The following is an 11,130-nucleotide window of genomic DNA, read 5'->3' as shown; positions in this document are numbered from 1 at the left end:
TGGAAGGTTGGAGGTAAAATCGGTGGAGATGGGAAAGGCTGTGGGTGAAACAGGATTGGTGGGATGAAGAGGAAGAACTCAGTTTTGGATATATTTAGATTTGAGACATGTTTAGATTTAAGGCCATGGATTATAGAAGTGAAGGTTTCTGAGAGATTTAAGTCTGTTGAAGTCTGAAAGAACAGGAACTCTTCCCTCCTGTTAGGAGGTCATGTAAGGAACAGAACCTGAGAGATACTTCACTCTTGACCTTGACTGTCTTGCTTCCCTCTGGTACATGAGGATACTGAGGTCAGTTCCTTGCAAGATCACAAGCCTGCCGAGACATCAGAGTTGTCTTAGTCGGCTTGGGCTGCCATGAAAAATACTACAGACTAGGTTGCTTAAACAACATTTATTTTCGCCCAGTTGTGGAGGCTGGAAGTTCAAGATGCAGATGTCAGCAGTCCTGGTTTCTCCTGAGGCCGCTTCTTGCCTTGCAGATGGCCACCTTCTTGCTGTGTCCTCACATGGCCTTTTCTCTGTGCACCCGCATTCCTGAAGCCTCTTATTATTTTTGTCATTCTTCCCATATGTTACCAATCATATTGGATTAGGGACCGACCCTGAGGGCCCTAACAAGATAATTTACCTTAATTATCTCTTTAAAGCCCCTGCCTCCAAATACAGTCACATATCAAGGTACTGGGGGTTAAGGCTACAAAATATGAATTCTAGGGGGTTGGAGGTCATAATTCAGTCCATAACAAGAGTTGAATCCAGATTTTCCAATTCCAAGTTCATTACTACTTCCATAGCACCATAGGGATAGCAAGTCAAAATATTACCTAATCAGTAAGGTCTTCCCTGACCACCTTGCTTAAAATCACAAATTACACACTTCCTTAGGGGTACTTGCCATTCCCCTTTTCTGCATTATATTTTCTCATAGCCATTATTTAAATATCTATATATTTTCATTTATTTTGCGTATTGTCCCCACGTCTTCCATCAATGTGTAATTCATGAGGATGGGGATTTTTCTGTTTTATTTACTGCTCTATCTTTGGCACATAGAGCCTCACACATTGCAGGTGTTCAATAAATATTTTTGACTGCATGTATGGATGTGTAAATGCATAAATAAATCTAAGTAAAATATCTTAACCCACTTGCATGCTGGGACTAGATAAGCATTCTCTTAGCAAACCAAGAGTGGAGTTACACACATTCTGAAAACAGGGTCTCCATCTGCCCTGTCATATAAATTATCCACACATGAGAACAGGCCATGGCAACAGCCCAGAGCCATGGTGCTTTTGTTCCATTGCTATGTTTTCTGTGCAGTACTCACACTTTCCAGACTGGAGCCTTCCAGTACAGAATTTATGCTTGTGTATCTCTATGGGACAGTCATCAAGTGTGCCTGTCACCAAAGCAGAAATCATCAAGAAACAGTTGCTAAATTAGCAGGAGTTGAACAAATTCTGGAACCCTGCTCCAAGGCCAAACTGAAAAATAGACCTTGAGGATGAGGCAACTCTGGTTGTGTCGGGGAATGTGCACATTTATAGACGCAGTTCTCTAGTGAGATTGTCTTGTGCCGAGGAGAAAAGTTTAAAAAGAAACAAAACACTGAAATGGCTTCTTCTGTCTTCTGGCAATCCATCTTGTAGTGTGGGCTGGAAAAAAATCAGGAAGAAAGAAAAGTGATGAAGTAAATATAGCAAAAGCAAAAAAGGAGTGAGGGGCATGTTGGAACACTTCCTATCCACTCAGGAACAGAGAACAAAGCTATTATATCTGCAAGTTACTATTTTCTGTTTTCCTTCTGTATTGATTTGCTAGGGCTGCCATAACAAAGGACCACAAATTAGGTGGCTTAAACAACAGACATGCATTGTTTCACAGTTCTGGAGGGGAGAAGTCTGCAATTAAGGTGTCAGCAGGGCCATACTCCCTTTGAAACCTATAGGGGAATCCTTTTGCCTTTTCTTAGCTTCTCGGAGTTGGCTGAATGTTTTTGGTGTTCCTTGGCTTACAGCTGCACAACTCTAATCTCTGCCTGTGTCATCACACTGCATTCTCCCCATGTGTCTGTCTTCACGTGGCCATCTTTTTATAAGGACACCAGGTGTATTGGATTAAGGGCCGGTCATACTCCAATATGACCTCATCTTACGTAATTATGTCTGCAATGGCCCTAATTTCAAAGAAATTTGTGTTTAGAAGTACTGGTGTTTAGGACTTCCAACGTGTCTTTTTTTTTTTTTTTTTGAGACAGAGTCTCTCTGTCGCCCAGGCGGGAGTGCAATGGCGTGATCTTGGCTCACTGCAAGCTCCACCTCCCGGGTTCAAGCGATTCTCCTGCCTCAGCCTCCTGAGTAGCTGGGACTACAGGCGCCCACCACCATCCCTGGCTAATTTTTTGTATTTTTAGTAGAGACGGGGTTTCACCCTGTTAGCCAGGATGGTCTCGATCTCCTGACCTCGTGATCTGCCCGCCTCAGCCTCCCAAAGTGCTGGGATTACAGGCGTGAGCCACCACACCCAGTCAACGTGTCTTTTTTGTGGGAAAGGGGGCATAATTCACCCTGTAACACCTTCCTAGCATATAGAAAGTAAAGAGGACCTTAGAAGTTATTAACTAACCAAGCAGTTTGTAAACTTCTTTATATAGAACCAGAGTTAATCTTTTTTTTTAACCTTTCATAAATACTCAATGTAAATGTACTAAAAGTGGGGACATCTGGAGGTACGTGAGATTGTTAGTATTACTATCAAGAATAGGAGTGGAGACTAGTGATAAAAAGAAAAAGTGGGCCGGGCATGGTGGCTCACTGTAATGCCAGTACTTTGGGAGGCCGAGGAGGGCGGATCACGAGGTCAGGAGTTCATGACTTGTCTGCTAAAAATACAAAAAAACAAAAAAACAAAAAAAAAAATTAGCTGGGTGTGGTGGCGGGTGCCTGTAGTCCCAGCTACTTGGGAGACTGAGGCAGGAGAATTGCGTGAACCAGGGAGGTGGAGGTTGCAGTAAGCCAAGGTTGCGCCACTGCACTCCAGCCCAGGTGACAGTGCAAGGCTCTATCTCAAAAAAAAAAAAAGAAAAAAAGAAAAAGCGAAATAAGAAAATGTCAGGAATGATCCCGTGGTGAAAATATGCCATGAAATGAGGAGAATGATAAATGCTGCTCTCAATACTTCAGTTGCAATAGATAAAGAAAAAAGTAAATATAACCTAATCAGACTCAAACAGAGCTGCTCCATTTGAAAGTTGGGGCAGGGGAATCTTGAGGGAGGTCACACAAACTGGCTTCCCTTATTCTTCTGGTTGGCCCCTGAAGTGATTCCACACCATTGTTTTCAGCCCAATTCTCTCATTCAACAGGTATAAGCACTGGAACTTAGAAAGGTAACATGACTTGCCCAAAGGCTCACAGGGGTTAAATTCCTTTCCCATGTGGCGTCTGAGCACTGAGACAATGTGGGAAACCAGGAATAGGTACAGGTGTGCAGAATTTAGGTGTGCAGAAATCCACCTTTCCTTATTGTACAACTCAGTTCAATTGCTGTTTCGAAATTCCACTCTTCTAGGAAGCAGAGAATTAATTTCAATCAACTGAGGGTCATTTCAATCAGTTTGTTGCCTAAGCCCCAGCCTGTGAGTTGTGTCTCTATGTCAGGGAGGGATGGAGTAGAACGTTCAGGTAATTGAGCAAAGTGTTGGTGCCACCCACCTGCACTGGCATGTGCAGAGTGTCTGCTTTACTGGGAGTTGTCAGTTCATGGCTGCTCTTCCTTTTCTATCCTAACCCTGGTCCTTTCAGCTATTTCCATGACTACTCAGAGATAAGAAAAATGTTTGATGTTTCTCTTACGACGATGCCTCAGGCCCATCTGCCTGGATAATCCCTGCAGCAAACTCTATATTCTTTGAAACTCCCAAAAGATGCTGAATGTGAGGATGCTGTGTGTGACCTGCCATTCCCCCAGGGTCAATTAGGGAAAGAAGCACAGGTCTTCTAAGTTCTTAGATCCCTCCAAACCCATTTGAGGTTTCTATTGCAATCTACGCAGGGATTAAGTCCAGGGCCACATCTCAGGGTCACAAAGAGAGAAGCTTCCAGCCTGGAGGTGGAGTAGGTTCCTCTCACCATTATTATCTCTCACGTCTACTATTTCTGTTATCAGCTCCGCAGGGCTTTTGAAGCTCAGAAACTTATTTTTCTGCTTTTCTGTTGTACTAACTATTCTCTGAGGCAATGGATAATCCCCAGTCTTGCCTGTAGAAGGAACAGTCAGAGGACAGAAAGGAGCTCCTAGGAATGAAAAACACATGGGCTGATACATTAAAATATAACTCCACAATATGCACATCACAATAATAGCTAACATCTGTGAGCCATAAAATAATTTCCAAATTGCATCCTCTTTGGAAAGCCATTTTAATTTAATGGAATCCTTTTCAAGCAGACCACCATGTTTCTTATCCAAATTAAATGATATTATTAATATAAAACTCGAAACACAGTGCCTGGAACAGAGTAATATTTAACAAATATTAGTAGTATTCACAAAATTATTATTGTTTTCCCATGTGCTCTGCATTAGTGACTGTTAGAAGCACTGTACTAACCCCTCTTTGAACTTCTCCTCCTTCTCTATATGAAAGGTGACATTTCTTGGATCCTAAAATCTTTTGAAGTCATCCTTTTTATCTTAGTCAAGGGAGAAGCCCCCAAGATATCTGAAAACCATAGACAGAACCCATACAGAATGCTTGATTTACTACTGGCCAAAAAAAAAAAAAAAAGAGGTTGAGTTGAATTGTGGCTGTGTTAAACCACTTGAAGGAAAATTGCAATAATGAGCTAAAAATCAACTCTAAATATATTACTTGAGGAAAACCTTGGGATAGCACAAGCAGGCTACATTCTCCCCCTTCAAATATATTGAGAGGTAAAAATGTCTTTGATTTATTTTGTCATTTAATTTCCCTTCCATCTCTTGGCCTTAAGTCTCAGAGGGTTCAAGTTTCTTGATTGGGCAATCAGAATTTTCATTCTTTGCCCATTATTTTCCCCATTGGCAGCATTCCTATAATAACAGCCTGATGAAAATATGCTTCCTCCAGTGGCTCCTCACTGCCTCCGAAAAATTTCCAAAGGGGTTTGGGCAGTTTCTATCAAAGGAGAGAACTAGGGGAAAGTTCAGATGGGTTTTAGAAATCAGAGTGGCATGGTTTTCTTCCTAATTATGTATGCATGCACACAATAATGGTAGGAAGGCACTCTTCAAAGTTGGGTCTCTTCAAAGATTTCGTGGTGCTGGAGGGTGTTCGCCAAGACTCGGGATTCCTGCTGGGATTCTTCTTCTGAAAGGTCATAGAACTGGAAAGCTTGTTTCTTTTTAAGATGCCACCCCAGAGAGAGGTTATTATCACATTAGACTAGTTCCTACTGCTAAGGGGAGGCTTGGGAGTATCAGCTTGAAAAAGATGCTTCTCTTTTGCATGGGTTTTGGGAAGTTCCCCTTTTCTCCCAATGGGCTCTCACTCGACCAATTTATGCCAGTAATGCAGTCCAAATTTCTTCTTTGATATTAACCTGTAAAAATGTCTGCTATGACTTGCAATAATTAACAAGATCCATATTGTCAGGAAGAACAAACTATCACTGATTGCCTTGTATCTTTAGTATTATGCTTGCTTTGTGTCTCTACCTATCCACTTAATTCCCATTCCTGGTGACATTGGAATGCTTCCAATCATTCCCCAACATTCACTCATTCACTCAAACATTCAAGAAGTATTACTAAACATCTTCCATGTGGCACGCACTGTGCTGGGTCTTGTGGAAGACCAGGTAGCATGAATTCAATAAAGACCAAATTTGAATAACAGATTATGGAAGGGTAGAAGGATTCAATTCACCATTTGCCAACCTCGAAGCGCTGACTCTTGAATTAGGTCTTTGTTAGTAGCATACTTTACTGGTACTAACTCCTATAAGTAATGATACCCTTGTATGAATTAGGTATTCTTATTTTCTTCCAAGCTAGAATTTATTTTACTCAATGTTTCACATAATCGCAGTGTTTATCAAAACACTTACCATTACCATGACATAGAAGTAGGTATTCTTAACCACAGAAACAGAAGAGGAGCCTGATTCATCCATTTGGTTTAAGCTTTGCTTAGAATGTGTCTCTGAGCTTAGTGTGGATGGAGATGTGTGAGTGAGGCAGTGCAGTTTTCCCAGCTTTTCTTTTTGTCAGCCAAGAAATAAGTGAAGTCAAGTGGAAGCCTAAAGGATGAAGCAGAGCTGCTCTGTTTGAAGCTGCCAGGTCTTTCAGCATGCCCAAAGGCAAGCCTGAGAAACCAGGGCTCTGCCAAGGACCATGGGAAAATCATCGGTGCACTAGAAACACACTAGACAATACTAAAGGTCTGACTGCTAACCTGTTTTCATTTACTAATATATGCTAGTGCAGCTTTCTTGTACCTGTTTCCTGTTTGGACTTTGTGATAGATTTGTGTTTGAGTAAGGATAAGAAAATATGGGATTGCTGGGTGACAATATTGTCTGGAAGTCAAAAACATGGGCTTTGGTGTTCATGTCTGGATTCAAATTCCAACAATTAGCTATTTTACTAAGCCTGGGAAAGTTATTTTACTCCTATGCCTCAATTTTCTATTTGTAAAATATTGAGTTTGATGATAATAATGGCATCAACCTCAAAATACTTTTTTCTGAGTATTAAGTGAGATAATACATACAAGGGTTTAGAACAGCTCCTGAAACATAGTCAACACGTAATGAATATTAGCTATATGGCAGATATTAGGGCTGTTCCTGAAATATTTCTAGATCTCTGCCTCCTCAACAAAGTCCAGTTGAATTCTTTGGTCCCTGTGGTTGGGAGAGGTCATGTGATTATTCTAGGCCAATGAGCTGGGAACAGAAGAGACTAGCCAAACTTTCATGTAAAGCCTTGAGTTGCTACAGTGAACCATTCAGACTTCAATTTTCTTTTTCCTTCTGGACAGGTAATGTTCCATTTTAGTGGCAGCTATAGCAGCATGGATCCTGTAGTGAGGCTGACAGAGCCAAGTGAGGTCCCAACCACCAAATGACGAATATGTGAGCAAAAAAAAAAACCTTTATAAGCCATTTGAGATGTGAGAGTTGTTTGTTACCAGCATAAACTAGCACATCCTGGCTGATGAAACTATAGTTATGATCATCTATTAGACAGTGAGAGAGAAAGAGACAGAACCAAACTTTATCACAAATATGTCGGCATACAAGTCTACCTATTTTTTTAAAATATGCCGTCATTGAGATGTAACTCATGTATTATACAATTCATCCATTTAAAGTGTACAATTCAGTGTCTCATGTGTGCAATACACAATCAATTTTAGACCATTTTCATCACCTTGAAGGACACCCTTCAGTTATCACCGCCCAATCCCCCCAACACCCCGACATTCCCACCGAGCACTAAGTGACCATGAGTCTGCTTGCTGTATCTACAGATTTCCATGTTCTGGGTATTTTTTATTAATGGACTCATATAATATCTGGTAATTTGTGACTGGCTTTTTTCATTTAGCATGTTTTCAAGATTCATTCATATTGTACCATGTGTCAATACATCATTACTTGTTATGGCTGAATAACGTCACATAACATGGTTTACCCCATTTTTTTCCATTAATCTACTGATGGACATTTGTGCTGTTTCCACATTTTGGCTATTATATATAATGATGATATACACATTCATGTAAAAGTTTTCATGTGAACGTAGGTTTTTATTTTTCTGGATGTATGTTTTTAATTTTTCTTGAGTGTATACCTGGGAGTGAAATTGGCTGGGTCATACGGTAGCTCTGTTTATTCATTTTCAAAACTGTCAGTATGCTTTCTGAAGTAGCTGCACCATTTAACATTCCCACCACTTTAGATTTACAGCACCATTTTACATGTGCACCAGGCGTGTATGAGAGTCCTGACTTCATATTCTTATCAGCACTTCTCTGACTTTTTGATTCTAGCCATCCTAGTAGGTACGAGGTGGTATCTCATTGTAGTTTTGATTTGCATTTTTCTGATGACTAATGATGTCCAGCATCTTATTGGTCATTTGTCTATCTTCCTAGAGAAACACCTATTCAAGTCCTTTGTCTATTTTAAAAGTGGGCTTGTTGGCTTTTTGTTGTTGAGTTGTAAAACTTCTTTGTTTATTTTGAAATTACTTCTTCATCAGATATAGGATTTGCAAACATTTTCTCTCATTCAGTGGGGTTTTTGGACTTGATAGGGTCTTTTGATACACAGCATTTTTATTCCGATGAAGTTCCATTTGTCAATTTTTTTGTTTTGTTGCCTATGATTTTGGTGTCATATATAGGAAATCACTGTCAAATTGAATATCATGAAGCTTTTCTCCTATGTTTTCTTCTAAGAGTTGAATAGTTGTAGCTATTACATTTATTTAGATCTTTGATCCATTTTGATTCAGTTTATATGGTTTAAGATAATTTATTCTTTTGCTTGTGGGTATCATTTTCCCAATACTCTTTGTTGAAAAGAGTATGTGTCCTTTTATTTGTCTTTCATTCAGCATAATTATTTGAGATTCACCCATACTATTGTGTTTATTACTAGTTCATTTCCTGTTATTGCTGAGTTATATTTTATTATATGAACATATAACAATTTATTTATTTATTCTCCTGTTGATGGACATTTGTACTGTTCTAGTCTTGGGCTATTACAAAGAAAGTTGCTGGGAATATTATGTATGAACATATGCTTTTATGTCTCTTGAGTAAATACATAAGAGTGAAATAGTTGGATCATCTGGTAGGTGTGCTTTTAACTTTTTAAGACACTGCCAAACCATTTCCAATGAGGTTGCCTGGTTTTACATTCTCACCAGCAGTGGATGAGAATTCCAGTTGTTTTATATCCACTTGGTATTGTAAAACTTTTAATTTTAGCCCTACTAAAAGGTGTGTATTAGTATATCACTATGGTTTTAGTTTGCATTGCTCTAATGACTAACGATGTTGAATATAACCATATGTTCTTCTTTGGCATCTGTATATTTTCTTTTGTAATGAGTCTGTTCATAATTTTTTGCACATATTTCTTTATTATTATTATTATTATACTTTAAGTTTTAGGGTACATGTGCACAACGTGCAGGTTTGTTACATATGTATACATGTGCCGTGTTGGTGTGCTGCACCCATTAACTCGTCATTTAGCATTAGGTATGTCTCCTAATGCTATCCCTCCCCCCTCCCCCCACCCCACAACAGTCCCCGGTGTGTGATGTTCCCCTTCCTGTGTCCATGTGTTCTCATTCTTCAATTCCCACCTATGAGTGAGAACATGCGGTGTTTAGTTTTCCGTCCTTGGATGGTTTCCAACTTCATCCATGTCCCTACAAAGGACATGAACTCATCCTTTTTTATGGCTGCATAGTATTCCATGGTGTATATGTGCCACATTTTCTTAATCCAGTCTATCCTTGTTGGACATTTGGGGTGGTTCCAAGTCTTTGCTCTTGTGAATAGTGCCGCAATAAACATGTGTGCATGTGTCTTTATAGCAGCATGATTTATAGTCCTCTGGGTATATACCCAGTAATGGGATGGCTGGGTCAAATGCTATGTCTAGTTCTAGATCCCTGAGGAATCACCACACCGACTTCCACAATGGTTGAACTAGTTTACAGTCCCACCAACAGTGTCAAAGTGTTCCCATTTCTCCACATCCTCTCCAGGACCTGTTGTTTCCTGACTTTTTAATGATCGCCATTCTAACTGGTGTGAGATGGTATCTCATTGTGGTTTTGATTTGCATTTCTCTGATGGCCAGTGATGGTGAGCATTTTTTCATGTGTTTTTTGGCTGCGTAAATGTCTTCTTTTGAGAAGTGTCTGTTCATATCCTTTGCCCACTTTTTGATGGGGTCATTTGTTTTTTTCTTGTAAATTTCTTTGAGTTCATTGTAGATTCTGGATATTAGCCCTTTGTCCAATGAGTAGGTTGCAAAAATTTTCTCCCATTCTGTAGGTTGCCTATTCACTCTGATCGTGGTTTCTTTTGCTGTGCAGAAGCTCTTTAGTTTAATTAGATCCCATTTGTCAATTTTGGTTTTTGTTGCCATTGCTTTTGGTGTTTTAGACATGAGGTCCTTGCCCATGCCTATGTCCTGAATGGTATTGCCTAGGTTTTCTTCTAGGGTTTTTATGGTTTTAGGTCTAACATGTAAGTCTTTAATCCATCTTGAATTAATTTTTATATAAGGTGTAAGGAAAGGATCCAGTTTCAGCTTTCTACATATGGCTAGCCAGTTTTCCTAGCACCATTTATTAAATAGGGAATCCTTTCCCCATTGCTTGTTTTTCTCAGGTTTGTCAAAGATCAGATAGTTGTAGATACGTGGCATTATTTCTGAGGGCTCTGTTCTGTTCCCTTGGTCTATATCTCTGTTTTGGTACCAGTATCATGCTATTTTGGTTACTGTAGCCTTGTAGTATAGTTTGAAGTCAGGTAGCGTGATGCCTCCAGCTTTGTTCTTTGGCTTAGGATTGACTTGGCAATGTGGGCTCTTTTTTGGTTCCATATGAACTTCAAAGTAGTTTTTTCCAATTCTGTGAAGAAAGTCATTGGTAGCTTGATGGGGATGGCATTGAATCTATAAATTACCTTGGGCAGTATGGCCATTTTCACGATATTGATTCTTCCTGCCCATGAGCATGAAATGTTCTTCCATTTGTTTGTATCCTCTTTTATTTCATTGAGCAGTGGTTTGTAGTTCTCCTTGAAGAGGTCCTTCACATCACTTGTAAGTTGGATTCCTAGGCATTTTATTCTCTTTGATGCAATTGTGAATGGGAGTTCACTCATGATTTGGCTCTCTGATTGTCTGTTAATGGTGTATAAGAATGCTTGTGATTTTTGCACACTGATTTTGTATCCTGAGACTTTGCTGAAGTTTCTTATCAGCTTAAGGAGATTTTGGGCTGAGACGATGGGCTTTTCTAGATATACAATCATGTCATCTGCTAACAGGGACAATTTGACTTCCTCTTTTCCTAATTGAATGCCCTTTATTTCCTTCTCCT

At 39.7% G+C, this 11,130-nt stretch overlaps 1 long non-coding RNA gene across 1 annotated transcript; it reads right to left on the bottom strand.

The window, feature by feature from the left end:
• Window positions 1-379: 379 nt before the first annotated feature.
• LINC02047 (long intergenic non-protein coding RNA 2047) lies at window positions 380-6,184 on the bottom strand. Its single transcript, NR_183674.1, has 2 exons — window positions 6,096-6,184; window positions 380-1,661 (listed from the first exon to the last, which is right to left on the bottom strand). It is a non-coding gene; the product is annotated as a long intergenic non-protein coding RNA 2047 (long non-coding RNA).
• Between the last annotated feature and the right edge of the window lie 4,946 nt (window positions 6,185-11,130).

The sequence above is a fragment of the Homo sapiens genome, chromosome 3 (assembly GCF_000001405.40).
Source record: "Homo sapiens chromosome 3, GRCh38.p14 Primary Assembly".
NCBI classification, from domain to species: Eukaryota; Metazoa; Chordata; class Mammalia; order Primates; family Hominidae; genus Homo; species Homo sapiens.
The sequence above is the reverse complement of the archived record's forward strand: the minus strand, read 5'-3'. Positions and strand labels throughout refer to the sequence as shown.